This window comes from Homo sapiens, chromosome 2 (genome assembly GCF_000001405.40).
Source record: "Homo sapiens chromosome 2, GRCh38.p14 Primary Assembly".
Classification (NCBI taxonomy): domain Eukaryota; kingdom Metazoa; phylum Chordata; class Mammalia; order Primates; family Hominidae; genus Homo; species Homo sapiens.
The window spans coordinates 25967846-25988833 of record NC_000002.12 but is presented as its reverse complement, the minus strand read 5'-3'; the positions used below and the strand labels follow the sequence as shown (position 1 = coordinate 25988833).

General features: G+C 49.8%; 1 protein-coding gene across 2 annotated transcripts in view, besides 6 other annotated features; it reads left to right on the top strand.

Moving 5' to 3' along the window:
* Positions 6089-6258: a silencer, noted in NCBI's record as "silent region_11266". NCBI's record gives its function as "represses an Ori minimal core promoter by ATAC-STARR-seq in GM12878 lymphoblastoid cells {active_cell/tissue: GM12878}" and the evidence as "EXISTENCE:reporter gene assay evidence [ECO:0000049][PMID:35858748]".
* KIF3C (kinesin family member 3C) overlaps positions 6337-20988 on the top strand; it is a 55900-nt gene continuing 41248 nt past the window's right edge. For both annotated transcript variants that reach the window (XM_005264299.4, NM_002254.8), the window contains exon 1: positions 6337-8461. In XM_005264299.4, coding sequence (XP_005264356.2) covers positions 6917-8461 — 1545 coding nt within the window. In that variant the 5' untranslated portion in view covers positions 6337-6916. The remainder of the gene's footprint in view (positions 8462-20988) is intronic.
* Positions 6399-6558: a silencer, noted in NCBI's record as "silent region_11265". NCBI's record gives its function as "represses an Ori minimal core promoter by ATAC-STARR-seq in GM12878 lymphoblastoid cells {active_cell/tissue: GM12878}" and the evidence as "EXISTENCE:reporter gene assay evidence [ECO:0000049][PMID:35858748]".
* Positions 6548-7057: an enhancer, noted in NCBI's record as "H3K27ac-H3K4me1 hESC enhancer chr2:26204646-26205155 (GRCh37/hg19 assembly coordinates)". NCBI's record gives its function as "activates a minimal SCP1, AML or CMV promoter by ChIP-STARR-seq in naive H9 embryonic stem cells {active_cell/tissue: H9 hESC(naive)}" and the evidence as "EXISTENCE:reporter gene assay evidence [ECO:0000049][PMID:30033119]".
* Positions 7058-7566: an enhancer, noted in NCBI's record as "H3K27ac-H3K4me1 hESC enhancer chr2:26204137-26204645 (GRCh37/hg19 assembly coordinates)". NCBI's record gives its function as "activates a minimal SCP1, AML or CMV promoter by ChIP-STARR-seq in naive H9 embryonic stem cells {active_cell/tissue: H9 hESC(naive)}" and the evidence as "EXISTENCE:reporter gene assay evidence [ECO:0000049][PMID:30033119]".
* Positions 8076-8584: an enhancer, noted in NCBI's record as "H3K4me1 hESC enhancer chr2:26203119-26203627 (GRCh37/hg19 assembly coordinates)". NCBI's record gives its function as "activates a minimal SCP1, AML or CMV promoter by ChIP-STARR-seq in naive H9 embryonic stem cells {active_cell/tissue: H9 hESC(naive)}" and the evidence as "EXISTENCE:reporter gene assay evidence [ECO:0000049][PMID:30033119]".
* Positions 8585-9094: an enhancer, noted in NCBI's record as "H3K4me1 hESC enhancer chr2:26202609-26203118 (GRCh37/hg19 assembly coordinates)". NCBI's record gives its function as "activates a minimal SCP1, AML or CMV promoter by ChIP-STARR-seq in naive H9 embryonic stem cells {active_cell/tissue: H9 hESC(naive)}" and the evidence as "EXISTENCE:reporter gene assay evidence [ECO:0000049][PMID:30033119]".

The following is a 20988-nucleotide window of genomic DNA, read 5'->3' as shown; positions in this document are numbered from 1 at the left end:
GGAAGCTGCACTAGTCTTTGTGATCACAAAAATGAATAAAGCAGACATGTTATGACCTCACAGACCAGAGGAGGTGGACAAATTATGATTTAATTATACTTGTACTAATTTCTATGAAGGAAAGTACAGGGAAGGATGAGAACCTATTACAGAGGGACATACCTAGGTTGGTAAATCAAGAAAAATATCCTTAGGGAGGGACATTCAAGCTGAAATCCAAAGGATGAAGAGAAGGTATCTAGGCAAAGATGGTGAGGATAAATATTCTAGAAGCAGAGACACAATGTGTAAAGGCCCTGTGACAGGAAGCTGGAAGGGAGCTGAAGAAGGTCATTGTAACTAGAGCACGAGGGGCAAGATGGAGAGTGGCATGTGATGTGACAGACATGTGCACAGGTGCCATGTTGTGCAGGGCGTTGCTGACTGTGTTAATGATGTGGAGTTTACATTAAGACCAGTAAGAACTGGCCGGGCATGGTGGCTTACGCCTGTAATCCCAGCACTTTGGGAGGCCAGGGTGGCTGGATCACCAGGTCAGGAGATCAAGGCCATCTTGACCAACATGATGAAACCTCGTCTCTACTAAAAATGCAAAAATTAGCTGAGCTTGGTGGCGCGCACCTGTAGTCCTGGCTACTCAGGAGGCTGAGACAGCGAGAATCACTTGAACCCGGGAGGCAGAGGTTACATGGAGCCAAGATCGTGCCACTGTACTCCAGCCTGGCGACAGACAGGGACTCCATCTCAAAAAAAAAAAAAATTCAATGAGAAGCACTGGAAGCTTTTTTTTTTCTTTTTTTTGACAGAGTCTTGTTCTGTCACCCAGGCTGGAGTGCAGTGGCGCGATCTTGGCCCACTACAGCCTCTGCCTCCCGGGTTCAAGTGATTCTCCTGCCTCAGCCTCCCGAGTAGCTGAGACTACAGGCGCGCGCCACCACACCTGGCTCATTTTTGTGTTTTTAGCAGAGACGGGGTTTCACCATGTTGGCCAGGATGATCTCGATCTCCTGACCTCGTGATCCGCCAGCCTCTGCCTCCCAAAGTGCTGGGATTATAGGCATGAGCCACTGCACCCGGCCTGGAAGCTTTTTAAGCATGGGGTGACATGATCAGATAGGTGTTTTTACTTTTACTTTTTTTTTGAGACAGCGTTTCACTTTGTCTCCCAGGCTAGAGTGCAAGTGGTGTGATCTTGGCTCACTGCAACCTCTGCCTCCCAGGTTCAAGCAATTCTCCTGCCTCAGCCTCCCAAGTAGCTGGGATCACAGGCCTGTGCCACCACACCTGGCTGATTTTTTTGTATTTTTAGTAGAGATGGGGTTTCACCATGTTGGCCATGCTGGTCTTGAACTCCTGACCTCAGGTGATCCACCTGCCTTGGCCTCCCAAAGTGCTGGGATTACAGGCATGAACCATAGCGCCCGGCTGATTTTTACACTTATTTATTTATTTATTTTAGAGACAGGGTGTTGCTCTGTCGCGCAGGCTGGAGTGCAGTGGTATGATCATGGTTCACTGCACCCCTGAATTCCTGGGCGCTAGGGGTCCTCCCACCTCTGCCTCCCAAGTAGCTAGGACTACAGGCATGCACCACCACATCTAGCTTTTAAAACAAAATTTTTTTTAGAGATAGGGTTTTACTATGTTGCCCAGGTTGGTCTTGAACTCTTGGCCTCAAGCCATCTTCCCACCTTGGCCTCCCACAGTGCTGGGATTACAGGCATGAGCCACTGTGCCTGGCCAGATAGATGTTTTTAAAAGATTACTTTCTTTTTTTTGTTTTGTTTTTTTGAGACAGAATTTCGATTTTGTCACCCAGTCTGGAGTGCAATGGCACAATCTCAGCTCATTGCAACCTCCACCTCCAGGGTTCAAGTGATTCTCCTGCCTCAGCCTCCTGAGTAGCTGGGATTACAGGCGTGCACTACTTTTTGTATTTTTAATAGAGACGAGGTTAATTTTTGTATTTTTAGTAGAGACGGGGTTTCACCACATCAGCCAGGCTGGTCTTGAACTCCTGACCTCAGGTGATCCATCCACCTGAGCCTCCCAGAATGCTGGGATTATAGGCGTGAGCCACCGTGCCCAGTCAAAAAGATTGCTTTCTGAAGAATGAATACATAGGGGTAAGAGCAGACTCTGAATCTCCCCATTCAGAGAGGCCAGATTGGAGGCTACTATAGGAGGTCAGGCCAGAGAATACGATGGCTTGGTCATGATAGCCCCTATGGAAGTAGAAAATAAATGGATAAATCTGAGAAATACGCAGGAAGTTGGCAGAATTTCGTATTCAAATGGATTCAATGTATTCAAATGGATACACTGAGACTGAAGGAAGTGCTATTTACAGAGCTAGGTAATATTTTTGGAGGGGAGAATAATGAGTTCAGTGTGAACAAGTAGAAATTCAGGTACCTGGAGAGCCACCAAAGTGGCTCTGTCCATTACAGAGTCGGATATAGAGGTTTAGAACTCAGAAGAGAGGTCTGGACTGGAGATACAAATCTAGGAACTATATAGACAATAATGGAAGCCATAAGCTATAATGACACTAGAGGGTGGCACTGGAACTCACTGATGTCCTTGGTAAGAGAGGTCTCTATTGCGTAGTGGGAGGAGAAGCCATATAAGTTTGTTTTTTTAATTGAGATGGGGCTGGTCTCGAACGCCTGGCCTCAAATGCTCTTTCCACCTCGGCCTCCCGAAGTTCTGGGATTACAGTGTGAACCACCGCACTGGGCCAGTCATGTGAGATTGAGCAGTGGAATGAATAGAAGCTGAGGCTATGTAGACAGAAACAGACACAGTTAGGAAGACTGAGTGCAGTGGCTCATGTCTGTAATCCCAGCACTTTGGGAGACCAAGGTGTGAGAGTCACTTGAGTCCAGGGATTTGAGACCAACCTCAGCAACAGAGTGAGACCTGGCTAATGTTAAAAAATATTGTTTTTTGTTTGTTTGTTTTTGTTTTTTTGAGACAGAGTCTTGCACTGTCACCCAGGCTGGTGCAATCTCGGCTCACTGCAACTTCCACCTCCCGGGTTCAAGGGATTCTCCTGCGTCAGCCTCCCAAGTAGCTGGGATTACAGGTGCCCACCACCATGCCCGGCTAATTTTTTGTATTTTTAGTAGAGACAGGGTTTCATTATGTTGGTCAGGCTGGTCTCGAACTCCTGACCTTGTGATCCCCCTGCCTTGGCCTCCCAAAGTGCTGGGATTACAGGTGTGAGCCACCGCGCCCGGCCTAAAAAAATATTGTTTTTAATTATCCAGGTGTGGTGGCATGCAACTGTAGTCCCAGCTATTCGGGAGGCTAAGGCAGGAGGATAGCTTGAGCTCAGGAGTTTGAGGCTGCAGTGAGCCATAATCATACCACTGCACTCCAGCCTGAGTGACAGAATGAGACCCCTTCTCAAATAAATTAATTGAAATAAAAACAAAGTTAGGACATTTCGGGCAGAGGAGCAGCATGAGCAAACACAAGGAGACACAAAAAAGTGGGGTGTGTTTGGGGGACTTAAGCTAATCAGAGTGGCTGGAGACTTGAGTATGTAAGAGGAAGGAAAAATGAAGACAGCGGTGAAAATGGAGACGCTGAAGTGAACAGCCTTGAATGCAAAGGACAAGAGAAAAGAAAACTGCTATTTCTGGAGTGCCTCCTATGTCGTAGGAGTTTTTGCATACATTATCTCACTTAATCCTGATGTGTAAGGTAAGCCCTCTTTTTTTTTCAGAGACAGGTTCTCACTCTGTTACCCTAGGCTAGAGTGCAGTGGTACAATCATCGCTCACTGCAGCCCTGAACTTACGGGCTTAAGCGATCCTCCTACCTCAGCCTCCTGAATAGCTGGGATTACAGCTTGAGCCACCACACCTGGTCAATGTAAGCATTCTTATCCTCATTTATTCCACTGAAAAAATAGCTGTTCAGAGAAGTTAAATAATTTCCCCAGGATCACATATCTTTTTTTGTGTGTGTGAGATGGAGTCTTGCTTTGTCGCCAGGCTGGAGTGCAGTGGCGCCATCTAGCCTCACTGCAATCTCTGCCTCCTGGGTTCAAATTATTTTCCTGTCTCAGCCTCTCAAGTAGCTGGGACTACAGGCGTGCACCACCATGCCCAGCTAATTTTTGTATTTTTAGTAGAGATGAGGTTTCATGATGTTGGCCAAGATGGTCTCGATCTCTTGACCTCATGATCCACCCGCCTCGGCCTCCCAAAGTGCTGGGATTATAGGCGTGAGCCACCGCGCCTGGCCTAGGATCACACATCTTGTAAGCAACGCGATTCCAATCTCCCTCTCACACAAGAGGATCTGGGTAAGTCCCCTGCCAGGTGGTGACATCAAGTGGGGAGAACAGGGTGAGAATCCCTTTTATCCAGCGCTGTAGTGTCAGATACATTAGCCTAAGCAGAGAAAGGGTATTCAAAACCCAAAGCCGAATGCAACCAGAAAATAGTTGAAGAACTAAAGGCTCCATCCAGAAATCATGTTGTGAGAGCCAAGAGGGGTTAGTCTACGGAGCCAAAACCCCACCCCGTAATTGGTCCAAAAGCCATGTTAATCATAAGCAGTGGAGCTTAATCAAGGAGAGGGTGGAGGGAGGCCAGGGAGCTTCAGAAGCGGGCAAGCTCTCAGCTAAGTCTCAAGCCTCTAGTCCAGCTCACGCTAAAGTTCTGGGATGGGGAAGAGTTAAGGAGGTAAATTTTGTTGAGTTGGAAAACTAAACAATTGGGTCCTCTAGAGGATAACATGCTTGGAAATGTTTTGTGGAAAGACTCTTCTGGTGCCTCTGTGAAGAAGGGTCTCCAGGTTTCAGATAACAGCACCTCTCAATCTGGTTCTCATATGGAGAGTAAAGACAGACAGCTTGGGCTCAGTCCACAGACTCAACTGCCCTCTGCAGAGTGGACCATGGATAGGACTCTGGCTTGGTCCTTGGCCTTGTGGAATTACACTTTATTTGTATCCTACAGGAAAAAAAAAAAAGATTAAGACTCCCATAGAGGAACACCAAGCACAGACATGGTCTATCCAGGATACTCAAGGAAGCAGGAGCTGTCAGGCAATCCAAGCCAGGGCAGGACTTCTCATGGTACAGTACTTCATGATTCATTATTTCATTTGAGCCTCCCAACCATTCCATGAAGTAGTTGTTAATTATTTCTTTCCCGCCTCGAATTTTTAAAAAAATAAATGAGGAAACTAAGGCTGGAGCAAGGGGAGTGACTGCTCAAAGCCACTCCATTGGATGGCCATCAGAACTGGAACTTCAATCCAGGTTTTGTCTTAGGTAAATTCTGTGCCTCTTTCACTATAGAAAAAAAAAAATTGCTAAGGGAAGGCTTCGTGGAGGAGGAGGTGCTTGAACTGCCCAAGTGGCAGGGCACTAAGTGCCGAAGGGTGACCAGGCCTCTGGGCAAAAGCACAAAGATGCTGCACAGCAAAGCCAGTTAAAGAAACAAAACACGGTTCCGGGAATGTGCACTGCTTGAGGACAGGAAGGACCCAGATCCTAGAATGGGGCCTGGGGCTCAGCAGGCGCTGGATAACTGAAGAAATGGCTGTCTGGAACACAGATTTTTCTATAGAGGAGTAGTGGCGGTGAGGCTGCGAAGGCGGAAGATGGAGAGGCTTTCACACAAGGAAGGCGGTGGAGGAGGAGCGAGGGGGCTCCCGGGTGCTTGTGCGGACATAAGGTGCGAGAGAATCAGCTGGAAGGTGGGCTCCAGCAGAGAGAAGAGGAAGGCCAGAAGTAGACCGGGACAGGGGGAGGAAAGGACAGAGTCAAGGAACATTTAGGAGTTCGGTTCCCGGAGGCCTGGCGACACCCTGACGGGGAGGGGTGACGCGCACCCATTTGCAGGCAGAAAGGCAGGAGCAGGGGGGTGTCCGAGGATGGTGGCTCGGAGGGACCAGGCATAGGTGGTGCAAGCTCAGCAGTCACTCAAGGGGTGGCATGCGGATGAGGGAGGCGCCTCCCGGACTGGGGGACCGGGAAAGGCATTAGCAACCTGCCAGAACCCGGTTAACAAAGGCAGGACTACAATTCCCGGCATGCTCGGGCTCGGTGGGGTGACGGCGGGCGGTGGCTGCGCTGCACCCGACTGGTGGGCGCAGGACCTGGGTCGGCACCGGAGCCTGTCATCCCGGAGCGGTCGGCGGGGGTGCAGAGACGGCGATGCGCCCCTGTCCCCCGCACCCGGGCCGCTCCGGGCTCGCGCCTCCCGCCCCGCGGCCCCGCCCCCTGCCCCACCCCAGTCGGGAGGCTTAGCTGGGGCCGCAGCGCGGCGGCAACATCACTCTCGCTGCCGCTGCTCCGCCCCATCCCCTTCTGTTTTTCTCTCTCATTCTCCAGTGGCGGCGGCGGGGAAGGCGGAGGCAGAGGCAGCAGCAGCCGCGCTGGCTGCAATGAATGATCCCCCAGCTTGGGGGGAGGACTCCAGGTGAGCCTCTGCCCTCGGGAGGCCCGGGACCCCCGGCCGCCCACGACCGGCAGCCCACGCTATGGATCCCTAGAGGAAGGAGGAGAAGACAGCTCGCCGCCCACCCCCATCCCATTTTCCTCTTCCTTTATCTCATTGTTGCCGAAGCTGTTTACGGCAGCGCTCCCTCTGCTCCTGCATGGGGCGGGCTCCGGGCACGGCTGCTCGGCAGGCGCTGCTCCCGCGGCGACTGGGGGATTCTGCCTAATTCACCTCCCAGCCGGTGCAGAGAGGACCGGAGAGCGGTGGAGGCCCGGACTGCAGCAGCGTTGGGGCCACCTCCCAGCGTCCCCACCCTAGGAGGCTGCATGCGGATTGAAGAGCTGCGCCTGGGGGCTGGGCCGGCCCCGCTGATCCCGACCTAGCGAGCAGGATAGCAGGACCGCCCAGGCTGCGGAGGGGCTCGGGGGCAGGAAGGTCAGAGCAGCAAGATGGCCAGTAAGACCAAGGCCAGCGAGGCCCTCAAGGTGGTGGCCCGGTGCCGCCCCCTCAGCAGGAAGGAGGAGGCTGCTGGTCACGAGCAGATCCTGACCATGGACGTGAAACTGGGCCAGGTGACCCTGCGGAACCCCCGCGCCGCCCCGGGGGAGCTGCCCAAGACCTTCACCTTTGACGCCGTGTATGATGCCAGCTCCAAGCAGGCCGACCTGTATGACGAAACCGTGAGGCCCCTGATAGACTCCGTGCTCCAGGGTTTCAATGGCACGGTGTTTGCCTATGGCCAGACGGGCACTGGCAAGACCTATACCATGCAGGGGACCTGGGTGGAGCCCGAGCTGCGCGGGGTCATCCCGAATGCCTTTGAGCACATCTTCACCCACATCTCCCGCTCCCAGAACCAACAGTACCTGGTCCGGGCCTCCTATTTGGAGATCTACCAGGAAGAGATTCGAGACCTGCTCTCCAAGGAGCCGGGCAAGAGGCTAGAGCTGAAAGAGAACCCCGAGACTGGCGTCTACATCAAGGACCTCTCCTCCTTCGTCACCAAGAATGTCAAGGAGATTGAGCATGTGATGAACCTGGGGAACCAGACCCGGGCTGTGGGCAGCACCCACATGAATGAGGTCAGCTCCCGCTCCCATGCCATCTTCATCATCACTGTGGAGTGCAGCGAACGTGGCTCTGATGGCCAGGACCACATCCGAGTGGGCAAGCTCAACCTCGTGGACCTGGCTGGCAGCGAGAGGCAGAACAAGGCAGGCCCCAACACAGCGGGAGGGGCAGCCACACCATCCTCGGGTGGCGGTGGTGGCGGTGGAGGCAGTGGTGGTGGTGCTGGTGGAGAGAGGCCTAAGGAAGCCTCCAAAATCAACCTCTCATTATCTGCCCTGGGCAACGTGATTGCTGCCCTGGCGGGCAACAGGAGCACCCACATTCCCTACCGGGACTCCAAGCTGACCCGGCTGCTCCAGGACTCCCTGGGGGGGAATGCCAAGACCATCATGGTAGCCACACTGGGGCCAGCTTCTCACAGCTACGATGAGAGCCTCTCCACCTTGCGCTTTGCCAACCGAGCCAAGAACATCAAGAACAAGCCCCGGGTGAACGAGGACCCCAAGGACACACTGCTGCGGGAATTCCAAGAGGAGATTGCCCGCCTGAAGGCCCAGCTGGAGAAGAGGGGGATGCTGGGGAAGCGGCCCCGGAGGAAGAGCAGCCGCAGGAAGAAGGCCGTGTCCGCCCCGCCTGGGTACCCTGAGGGCCCAGTGATTGAGGCCTGGGTGGCAGAAGAGGAGGATGACAACAACAACAACCACCGCCCGCCCCAGCCCATCCTGGAGTCAGCCTTGGAGAAGAACATGGAGAATTACCTGCAGGAACAGAAGGAGCGGCTGGAGGAGGAGAAGGCAGCCATCCAGGATGACCGCAGCCTGGTGAGCGAGGAGAAGCAGAAGCTGCTGGAGGAGAAGGAGAAGATGCTGGAGGACCTGCGGCGGGAACAGCAGGCCACAGAGCTGCTTGCGGCCAAGTACAAGGTAAGGGCCCCAGAGGAGCTGGGCACTCGAGATGTCCCCGCAGGGGATCCCGGCAAGGAGGCTCTTCTTTGAGAGTCTGTGACCTGGCCTGAAGTGGAGGTTCTCCCTCAGCACCGCACACTGCCCTCCTGCCAAATGTGCCCCCAGAGCAGCCAGGCAAATTGCTGTGATACCGGGCTGCCAGGTACATGCACAGGCACACACACACGAAGCAACGTGGACAGGCGGTCTCTCAAGCCAGTGAGCTTGGGGTGGTCTGACCTGCTGTGGGCATTTCCTGCTGGTGGCCTCAGGATCAGTCAGGTCTGTGGGATGGCCAGGCAGCCTCTTGTGAATGTGGGTTCTTGTTCCTTCACAGCCTCCTCCCCTGAGGCTTCCTCCCTCTGCAGCATCTTCAAACCTCACGTCGTTTTAATAATATCATTTGGTTAGTGCTTCAGTTCAAAAAATGCCCCATATATATGATCCATACATGATCTCATTGGATCCTTTGGCCATCCAGGGTCACAGTTCTGAAATCCCCATTTCAGAGGTGAGGAATTAAAGCTTGGAGAAGTGACGTGACCAAGGTTCCATCCTATGAAGTGGCAGAGCTGAGCTGGAACCCATGGACCTCATGCTGTTTCAGTTCTTAGCTGGGCAAAGTGGGACCATGAACAGATTCTGCTCCCTGGGAAAATGGTCCCCTGGGCCTTACAGTGCAGGAGCCATTGCTTGCTATCATTAGGAAAGAGATTTGGGGGTTATGCAGGAGGTAGGGTGGAAAAAGCACCAAACTCTATACCAGAGACCAAGAGACTGGCCTAGCCATTCTACAGCTCATTGAGTGGCCTTGTGTAAGTTGCTTCTCTCTTTTCTCAGGCCTCAGTTTACCTTTCTGTAAAATAGAGGGTTGGCCTGGGTGATCTCTGAGGCTCTACCTATCTGATAATTCTATGGCCTATATTAATCTGAGCAGCAAGCCAACCGACCCCTGCCCCGAGGCCTCATCACAGTTAATATCCAATTCCCCATAACCCTGAGAGATGTCAGGACCTCAGCATCCTTCCTGAGCTGTTTCCTCACCCCCGGGACCTTCCAGGCTCTAATGGGGCTAACTACAGAGGCCCCTCCCTGTCCAGTCATAGACCTATTAAGTTGCATTGCTGAGGATGCCACAACTCAATGTTCCAGGCATTTCCAGGCCCCTGGAGCCTTCAACACTAGGGGTGGAAGGAAGGACACAGGAAGCCATGAGCTTGCTGGGAAGAGCAAAATATTGCCATTTCTTATTCCTTCTCAGGAATGTGGGCTGGGGAGCAGGGGGGCCCAGCCTACAGCCACTGGGAGAGTGACAGATGAGCTGTATGCCATTGTCTGTTTTGGGAATGTGCTGCTGCAGCAGGGGCTCTGGCCTTACATATTTAATATTTAATTCACTTCTTTGAGCCCAGGAAGAGTTATGCTGAGCTGTTTCCTCAAGGAAAGGATCAGGGGCCTGGAACCTTTAGGGACATCCTGAGAGAAGCAAGATATTAGAGGCAGGGCCGTTAGATTGAAGCCCTCCCTAGGAGGGAGGGAATCCAGTGTTTGCTTACCTGGTCAATCTGCCATTGATTTTGCTAAGAAGACCCCCCACCTCCCTGAAAGCTGGAAGGCAACAAAGGCTAAGAAGGGAGGAAAATGCAATAACACACTTCGGCTGCCTGAGGGATGGGGTGAAGGTTTCCGTTGTTGGGAACTGACCAGTTTCCCTCAGTGAGATCCTTGGATCTAAGGCAGTATGGGGCACAGATGATAGAACGGCCAAGAGATCAGGGCGGCCAGCACCAGAATTCTTGCACCAGAGGCATAGCCCACAAAATATCACAGTCTTAGAGTTGGCAGGAGCTTTGGAAAACTGAGACCTGGACTTGCCCAGGGCCACACAGGTGAGTTGAGGAGAGCCTAGCCCCTTTATATATGGAAGAGCCCAGCCTCTTTCCACTGCTTGAGTCCTAATGTTACCTGTGCTACTTGATAATCAGAGTAATTCATTTTTATATAAGGCGTTGACATCTTAATCTCATTCGATCCTCCCAACAACCCCAAGGGGTGGGTACTATTATTTCCATTCAACAGTTATGAAAACTAAGGCTGGGGAGGTGGAGTGAGTGTCTTATCAGCTCGTGACCCTGGGTGATAGGCAGCAGAGCCAGGACTGGAACCCAGGTCTTCTGATGCCCCCAGCCCTGTGCTCTTTCCAAGGCATCTCAGATTCCTCCATGTTTGCTCACTGTGTGACTCAGGGCAACCGCCTTTCCCTCTCCAGCCCTCAGGCTTCCATTCACCTAATGAGGAGGAGAAGCCTGACCTTGCTCCCTGGGGAGTGGGTGAAACAGTCACTATGTACCAGGTGTTCAGATGGAAGCAAAGGGGGAGGAGTGCCTGGGAAATTCCACAACAGGAATGATTCCATACCCTGTGACTTCTCATCACACTCAGCCTAGGACAATCAGCAGCCAGCAACCCAAAATGGAACCTAGACAGAGGACCCAAGTTCCCCATAGCCCCAAGGCACCGCCTGGTTCAGTGTCGGATGTTTCTAGGCTGGTGGAAACAATTTGAGGGCTCTTGAGGAATCTACAGGGTAAAGAGGGGAGGAGCATGTTAGAGATACCAACCCCAGTCCTGCCTATTTCCCAGGGTTGAGGATTAAATGAGATCATTAGCACGAGGGCATTTAAAATAAGTTGAAAGCACCAAATACATGGAAGGCATTAGCAGCTATGGGGTGGCTTCTGTCCACCAAGCTGGGGTCCAGTGATCTCCAGGACAGACATCTTTGTTGTTAGCTTGACTTCTTCTTTACCCTGCCATCCCAGCTGCCTTGCCATAACCCTGCAGCTTGCTGGGAGTAGAGCCAGGCAGGAGAGGTCTAGGAGATTTCAGAAGGCAGGCTCCCCATCTGCAGCTCACTCCTGTCCCCCCTTTCTGAGTTATGGCATCAACTCCGCTTCTTCCCTGACCAGCTCCCATTCCCTTCTTCCAGTTCATGCCACCCTCTGGGGGCAGCTAAGTGGTAGTTGATGCGACCCAGTGCCCTCATTCACTCTCTCTGACTCATCTCATAGTCTGTCTCGCCAGCTCTCCCTGCCTGCCACCTCCCAGGCTCCCTGTTCTCTTTGTTCTCCCCTCACTGTGCACAAACACCATGCCTGTCTCCTTGGAATCTCATTTCATCCCTCCTTTCATGTTTACTGTGGGCCTCAGGGGATGTTCGGGTGTGCAAATGTGTGAGAGTTTGTGATTGTGATCAGTGTCCTGTTTATCAGTAATCATTAGCAATTTATACTTATGTAGTGTCTGGGGGAGGGAGGGTGTGGGCGGGAAATGCTGGTGGGAGCTTGATAACATACTAGGCCTGTGAGGTAGGAGGAATAGGTAACATCACAGACCCACAATGCACAGTGAAAACTTCAAATATTTGGTACTGCGCAGTGAAAACCCAAATATTTGTGCGCAGTATACATACTGCAGTGAGGACAGGTGAACACACGTAGATTGGTTGGGAGAAGGCCTACTTTATTCAAATGTAATCATGCAAGACAATTTTTAAATGACTGCTTTAATTTTGAAATTAACTTTTTTTTTGAGATGGAGTTTCGTTCTTGTTGCTGAGGCTGGAGTGCAATGGCACGATCTCAGCTCATTGCAACCCTGCCTCCCGGGTTCAAGGGATTCTCCTGCCTCATCCTCCCTAGTAGCTGGGATTACAGGTGCCCACCACCATGCCCAGCTAATTTTTTGTATTTTTAGTAGAGACGGGGTTTCATGAGGTTGGCAAGGCTGGTCTCGATCTCCTGACCTTGTGATTTGCCCACCTCAGCCTTCCAAAGTGCTGGGATTACAGGCATGAGCCACTGCATCTGGCTTAGTTAATTTTTTCAAGGAGTTGGACTAGATGATTCCTAAAACTTTGATTTTAGCTACTTAAAGGAAAAAAAGAGTGTTTGTGTACAGATGATACAGAATGCAGGCACGAATTGAAGACAGAAACAACAGCATCGGATGTGATCCCCAATAAGAAGGTCTGGAGGGAGAAGAGCTGGGGTTCTTGGCTGGAGCCCACTCTCTCTGTGGTGAATGTAGAAAAGAGAACCTGCAGAAGCAGCCCCGGAAGCCAGAGGGATGCGGTCATAAGGAGGAATGCGAACTGTGTTGAAATTGTATTGTCCCTTTTGTGGGTCCTGCTTTCTCCCACCCCTCAGCAGGGGGATTAACCATAAATGCAAGAGAGAATGTTTCAAGCCTGAGCGACAACAGTAACAGTAATAATAATGACATTTACTGAGCACTTGCTTTGTGCCAAGTGCTATCCTATATACAGATTATCTCGTTTATTCCACATGAGCACCCTCCAAGAAAGGTGCTGTTATTGTTCTTGTTTTTTTTTTGAGGCGGAGTCTCACTCTGTCGCCCAGGCTGGAGTGCAGTGGCGTGATCTCGGCTCACTGCAAGCTCCACCTTCTGAGTTCACGCCATTCTACTGCCTCAGCCTCCCGAGTAGCTGGGACTACAGGCGCCCACCACCACGCCCGGCTTACTTTTTGTATTTTTAGTAGAGATGGGGTTTCACCACGTTAGCCAAGATGGTCTGGATCTCCTGACCTCATGATCCACCCGCCTCAGCCTCCCAAAGTGCTGGGATTACAGGCCTGAGCCACTGCACCTGGCCTTATTGTTCTTGTTTTATAGATGAGAAAACAGAGCTCCATTGAGGTGAAATAACTCTCCCAAGGCCACATGGTTGGTATAGTAAAACTATGTAAACCCAGCTGGATTTGACACAAAATCTGATGCTCTTTTAGGCTTAAAAAATTAGGAATATCAGGTTGGGAACTGGTTCCTGAGGAGGTGCTGAAAAATTATAGGAGTAGGCTGGGCAAATTATAGGAGTAGGAGTGGCTCACACCTGTAATCCCAGCAATTTGGGAAGCCAAGGTGGGTGGATTCCTTGAGCCCAGGAGTTCCAGACCAGCCTGGACAACATGGAGAAACCCTGTCTTGACAAAAAATACAAAAAATTAGCCAGGCATGGTGGTGTGTACCTGTAGTCCCAGCTACGCAGGAGACTGAGGTGGGAGGATCGCTTGAGCCCAGGAGGTTGAGGCTGCAGTGAGCCTTGATTGCACCATTGCACTCCAGCCTGTGTGACAGAGAGGAACCCTGTCTTAAAAAGGAAAGAAAAGAAAACTGATAGGAGCTGCTGTAGATGTGTCACATTTGAGGTGACAGAGTCCAGTGGGCAGCTGGAGTTGGGCCAGTGGAGTTTAGAAAGAAGCCCGAGACTGGAAATGGAGATTGGGTCTCATTTTTTTTTTTTTTGAGATGGAGTTTCACTTTTGTTGCCCAGGCTGGAGTGGAATGGTGTGATCTTGGCTCACCGCAACCTCTGCCTCCCAGGTTCAAGCGATTCTCCTTCCTCAGCCTCCCGAGTAGCTGGGATTACAGGCATGCACCACCACACCCAGCTAATTTTATATTTTTAGTACAGATGGGGTTTCTCCATGTTGGTCAGGCTGGTCTCAAACTCCTGACCTCAGGTGATCCACCTGCCTCAGCCTCTCAAAGTGCTGGGATTATAGGCATGAGTCACCATGCCCAGCCCTGCCCCTCTATTTTTGACACTCTATCCCTCTGTGTAAATGACTCCCAGATCGAGGTCTCCTCTCTGGTCTCTCTGCTGGCCTTATTATATGAAGTGCTATGTTCAGGGCATGGGCATCAGAGTCAGCCAGGTCTGGATTTAGTGACTTACCAGTTCTGAGGCCTCTGAGTACCAGTTTCCTTAGCTATAAAATGGGATAGTAATAGTATCTTTGTTACAGTGCTATTGAAATAATTAAACAAGGGCCAGGCGCAGTGGCTCATGCCTGTAATCCCAGCACTTTGGGAGACAGAAGCAGGAGGATCACTTGAGCCCAGGAATTCAAGACCAGTCTGGGCAATATAGCAAGACCTTGTCTCTAGGAAAAAAAGAAAAAGGCCGGGCGCGGTGGCTCATGCCTGTAATCCCAGCACTTTGGGAGGCCGAGGTGGGTGGATCACGAGGTCAGGAGACTGAGACCAGCCTGGACAACATGGTGAAACCCCGTCTCTACTAAAAATACAAAAATTAGGTGGGCTTGGTGGCGCGCGTCTGTAGTCCCAGCTGCTCAGGAGGCTGACGCAGGAGAATCACTTGAACCCGGGAGGCAGAGGTTGCAGTGAGCCGAGATCACACCACTGCACTCCAGCCTGGTGACAGAGTGAGACTCCGTCTCAAAAAAGAAAAAAAGAGAATTAAACAAGAGAACGAACATAAAGCACTTTGCACAGTTTCTGGCACACAAGTGTTAAGTAAATAATTATTATTGCTATGTCAAACCACCTAATAGATGTTTTCACTTGGCCACCTTCCTGATATATTAAACACATCACATTTTAGTTTGGCATTCAAGGCGCTTCAGAGTCTGACTGCAATGCATCTCTTCTATCTTGCCTGCCCAAGCCGGTTACTCCAATAGGAAAACCCTGCACCAGCTGTTCTACCCCTTCCTTTGAAATCAACATGGGCCTCCCTATCCTACTGCTGATTGCACTGTTTTTGTGTCCTGGATTGTTGCTGGTAACCAGGGAGTACGAATTATGGAAGCAGGTTAAGCTTAATTTAAAGATCTCTTTAACAGTTAAAATTGGGCTGTTTCAAGAAGAAATAGGTGGCCTTGATGGTGGTGATGATTTCACGGTTGTATACCTGTCCCCAAATTCATTGAGTTGTATACATTAAATATGTACAGCTTTTTTTTTTTTTTTTTTGAGACAGAGTCTCACTCTGTTGCCCAGGCTGGAGTACAGTGGGACGATCTTAGCTCACTGCAACCTCCGCTTCCCGGGTTCAAGCAATTCTCCTGCCTCAGCCTCTTAAGTAGCTGGGATTACAGGTGCACGCCACCACACCTGGCTAAGTTTTGTATTTTTAGTAGAGATGGGGTTTCACCATGTTGTCCGGGCTGGTCTTGAGCTCCTGACCTCAGGTGATGCACCCACCTCAGCCTCCCAAAGTGCTGGGATTACAGGCATGAGCCACCGTGCCTGACCTAAATATGTACAGCTTTTTACACATCAATCATGCCCCAGTAAAGTCATGGGCTCCCATCCCTGGAAGTGTTCAAGGAGAGACCGAATGTCAGTGGTGCACTAAGGGCTTGATATATCAGGAAAGCCGTTGAACCAGATGATCTTCAGAATCCCTTTCTCTTAAAGGCCCTTAATTGTTTAAAATGTTATTTTTTAAACAGTAAAAGAGAAAATATTTAGCTTTCTGAAAATTAAGACCAGAAGATTTAAATTTTAATGTAGTATGAATTCAAACAATAATATAATAGAGGATGTTTTTCAGCTCTCTGTCATAACCAGTTAGAGAAGAGTCAAAGACAATGGGAAGAAGAGAAGAGAGAAAGAGAGAGATAATAGGAGAAAAGCAAGAGAGAAATAGAGGGGGACAATAAAGAGGGGAAAGAGAAAGAGGTGGGGAGGTAGAGTGGGTAAAGCTGTGGACGACAGGGTTTTTGGGAAGAAGAAACCTCGATTGGGAGAGGAAGTGCTGTAGTGGAGAGAGTGAAATACTGTGTATCATTCCACTGTCCTGATCTTAATGTTAGTCTTCAAATAGGGCTATCTCCAGTCTCCAGAGACTTCCACAAAGCTGATCTGGTTCCATCCACATGTCCCCAAGGACACCAGCCCCATGCTAGACACTCTGAGATTTGTGGGGCTGTGTGATCAGCTGAGTCCTGTATGATCAGACCCTTGAAAGAAGCCTTGAGATAACAAGTGACCCATACTCCAGGCTGGGTTTGGATCCAGGTCACAGTCCATGACCTCTTGGTGTTGGTGAGAGCAGTGTCTTGTATTCCTTCTCATCCCTGGTGGGTGTGGTCAGTTAACAGAATCGTTGCGTCCTGGGGGCATTTTGTAACACAAAGATTTGACTAGTGGGAAGTATATGACACTAATGGATTTCCATATGAGATTCTGGGCTTCAAGTGACATTGAGGCTCAGCAGGCCTTTTGGTCCAGTGTTAGGTTTCTCGTGCTATGTGTTGGCTGGAGGAGGGTATTATCATACTGCCCTGAGTCATTTCCAGCCTCCGCAGAGCACAAGATTGGATGAAGTGGCTTTGACAATATTCTCATTGTGCTCTGAAGACTAGGAAGAAAGGCCTGGAATTCAGATAGAGAGGGGCACTTTTCTCTGCCAGCCCACTGCGCCTGGCCAGTCTGGGGCACCTCTTCTGGAGCTGCTGAACCAGGTGGCATGTTTGAATGAATAAGGAAATGCTTCCCCAGGTGCAGTGGCTCATGCCTGAAATCCCAGTATATTGGGAGGGTGAGGTAGGAGGATCACTTGAGGCCAGGAGTTTGAGACCAGACTGGACAACAAAGCCAGACCCCATCTCTACAAAAAAGTAAAAAAAAAAAAAAAAAAAAAAAAAAAAGCTAGGCATGGTACTGCATGCCTGTAGTCCTAGCTGCTCAGGAGGCTGACATGGAAGGATGGCTTGAGCCTAGGAGTTCGAGGTTTCAGTGAGCCTTGATCTTGCCACCGCACTCCAGCCTGGACAACAGAGCGAGACCCCAACTCACAAAAAAAGAAAATGAAACAAAATGGTCTCTCTTTCCACAGATCCAGCTCTGCAGCTATAGAGGCTGTACAAGGCACACCCTCATGCTCAGACCTTATAGGACACCCACACTTGTGGTTTGGTATATCTAGAATTTTTAATATCCTGAGAAGTTCCTGGGCATTAACTCCACCTCATACTAAAAAATTACTTTCTAGTTGTCTCACTTTCTTCCCAGATATACTCAACAGAAGAGTCCCAGGCCCTGGGCTGAGCTATTTCTTTTTTCTTTTTCTTTTTTTTTTTTGAGATGTAGTCTGTCTCTGTCACCAGGCTGGAGTACAGTGGCGTGATCTCAGCTAACTGCAAGCTCTGCCTCCCGGGTTCAAGCGATTCCCCTGCCTCAGCCTCCTGAGTAGCTGGGACTACAGGTGCGCGCCACCACGTCCTGCTATTTTTTTTTTTTTTTTTTTTGAGACAGAGTCTTGCTCTGTCACCCAAGCTGGAGTGCAGTGGCGTGATCTCAGCTCACTGCAAGCTCCGCTTCCCAGCTTCACACCATTCTCCTGCCTCAGACTCCCGAGTAGCTGGGACTACAGGCACCCGCCACCACGCCAGGCCAATTTTTTGTATTTTTAGTAAAGACGGGGTTTCACCATGTTAGCCAGGATGGTCTCCATCTCCTGACCTTGTGATCCGCCCGCCTCGGCCTCCCAAAGTGCTGGGATTACAGGCATGAGCCACTGTGCCCGGCCCTTTTTTTTTTTTTTTTTTTTTTTTCCTTCATAGAGACAGGGTTTCACCATGTTGGCCAGGGTGGTCTCGATCTCCTGACCTCATGATCCACCCGCCTCGGACTCCCAAAGAGCTGGGATTACAGGCATGAGCCACCATGCCCTGCCGGGCTGAGCTATTTCTATAGCACTAGCTAATGTACATGCAGGGTTTCTCCTTTCTTCAGGTGGGCCAGCAGAAAAATAACAACAGTGGTGGTAATAATGATAGCTACCATTTCTTCCATGCGTGCTTAATGCCAACCACTCTGATGTGTTCTTTTTTTTTTTTTTTTTTTTTTTTTGAGACAAAGTTTCACTCTTGTTTCCCAGGCTGGAGTGTGATGGCGTGACCTCGGCTCACTGCAACCTCCACCTCCCGGGTTCAACCAATTCTTCTGTCTCAGCCTCCAGAGTAGCTGGGATTATAGTGGCCACCACCACACCTGGCTAATTTTTGTATTTTTAGTAGAGACAGGGTTTTGCCACGTTGACCAGACTGGCGCCGAACTCCTGATCTCAGCTGATCCGCCTGCCTCGGCCTCCCAAAGTGCTGGGATTATAGGCGTGAGCCACCGCGCCCGGCCTGATGTGTTCTGATGTGTTCTTTATGTGTATCATTTTGCTTCATCCTCACGGTAGCGTGAATCTTCATCTGACTAGTGAGGATACTGAGGCACATTAAGGAATGAACATTCCAAGTTCGCACACCTAGAAAGTGGTAGGGCCAGAGTTACGAGCCCATGTCTGCCTGACTCCATAACCCATGATCTTCACCTCCACACTGTAATGCCAGCTCAGACAGGAAGGATTTATGCCAGATCCCTGACTAATAAGCCCCAGTGGGAACTCTTGTCTCCTGAGATATTTAACTCATCTTTGTCCTTCTGTATGATGCAAACCCCCAGCTTCTAACCTCAGCCCAGCACCATTCGTTCGTATAATCAACAAATCTTTGGCCGGGTGCAGTGGCTCACGCCTGTAATCCCAGCACTTCGGGAGGCCGAGGTGGGCAGATCACTTGAGGCCAGGCATTCACGACTATCTTGGCCAACATAGCGAAACCCTGTCTCTACCAAAAATACAAAAATTAGCTGGGCATGGTGGCGTGTGCCTGTAGTCCCAGCTACTCCAGAGGCTGAGGTGGGAGGATCACTTGAATCCAGGAGGCAGAGGTTGCAGTGAGCCAAGATCACGCCACTCTCTTGCCTGGGCAATAGAGTGAGACTCTGTCTTAAAAAAAAAAAACAAAAACCCAACAAATCTTTTTAAGTAACCATGGCCAAGGACATAAATCAGTAGGTATAGTTAACTTCATCTTTAAATTCTTTAAATTTCTGGAAGGAATCATAAGAACTCGCAATAATGGTTATTGCTAGGGATTTTAATATGGAGGGGAATTTTTATTTTTCACTTTATACCTTTTTATTTTATTTTTCACAATAAGCATGTAATACTTTAAAAAGTCATCTGGGACTTTTTTTTATTTTTTCAAAAGTTTTGGGGGAACAGGTGGTGTTTGGTTACATGGATAAGTTCTTTAGTGGTGATTTCTGAGATTTTGGTGCACCCATCACCCACTTTTAAAAAATTAAACAAAAATTAATCTGAATTTTTTAAAGGAAAAAGCCCTTTGTCAGGGTTCTATGTTTTAAAAAAGACGGGGGGGACATATAAAAGATATATGTTAATGCCTAGTTGGAAGATTTGCTTAAAGGTAATGAATAATTGAGGAAAATCCAGGGTTGATAATAATGCTCAATTATACTCAGTTATTGGTAATCCTGTGACCTTGGACAAGTCACTTTCCCTCCCAGGAGCTGTAAGGAATGACCAATAGATGATTCCTGACCGGACGCGGTGGCTCACGCCTGTAATCCCAGCACTTTGGGAGGCCAAAGCAGGCAGATCACCTGAGGTCAGGAGTTCGAGACCAGCCTGACCAACGTGGCGAAACCCTGTCTCTACTAAAAATGCAAAAATTAGCTGGGTGTGGTGGCACACGCCTGTAATTCTAGCTACTCAGGAGGCTGAGGCAGGAGAATCACTTGAACCCGGAAGGCGGATGTTGCGGTGAGCCGAGATCACGCCACTGCACTCCAGCCTGGGTGACAGAGCAAGACTCTGTCTCAAAAAAGAAAAAAAAAAAAAAGATGATTCCTTGCTTTCTGTACCATTTGCTGATTCACCTTGGAAGCAGGCCAGGGTTAGAAACCAGCCTGAGTGAAGGACAGTGAAGGACAGAGAGGAATGACCCAGCCTTGACTGGGAGCCTAGAGGCTGTGTGACCCAGGACCACGAACCTAACCCCTCTGGGCCCCGCACCTGATCTGTAAACTGCTCAGACTACACTATATATATCCTTAGGTTCATCCAGTTCTGACACTGGAACATTCTGTTGTCTGGATTTGCTGAAGAGAAACCCTCTAGAAAGTCACAAATAAGCAAGGGAAATAGGGCGGAAAGGTGAAGATAAGCATTGATCTGAGGGGCTCATGGTTTTTTCACTAAAGTAGAAGGGCTGATTAGTTTCCTTCCTGCTTTTTTTCAAGGTGAGCTGAGGCACTTCTGGGCATCCTTGCCTTGTTCAGTTTAAGGCTGGTACTGGAGTCCAGCTCGCCTCATCCCTTGGCCAATAGTTTCCTGATCTCAAATTGTTCTTTCTTCTTGATAAGGAAATTCCTAGCACTTGAACCATTCGTCATTTTTGTTGTGTTTTGAGCCATCCAAGGCGGAGACTCAGACTCAGTCTCCTGATTTTTGTCTCCCAGGGAAGGATATCATTGAAAATAGCATTATTCATCTGAAAATGGTACTCTTCATCCCCTCCCCATTGTCTCTTTCATTTCTTCTTCCCTTACTGCTGACTCCTCAAGATGTACAATCAGGGCGCTGGAAAAGGAGAAATAGGTCTGTGAGGGAAGGGGTGGCTATATTTTCTAAGAGATGGAAGCGGGGTCTGTTGAGATTGTTGTTTTGGTTTTGCTTTTTGTGGCAAGTGGTGGGTAAAATACCAATGAGATACCGAAACAGCGAGTAACGACTACCATTTGGGTGTAATTTATCACTTACCAACACTTTCACATCTATTCTCAAACTCGCTGGTTGTTTTGTTTTGTTTCTGTTT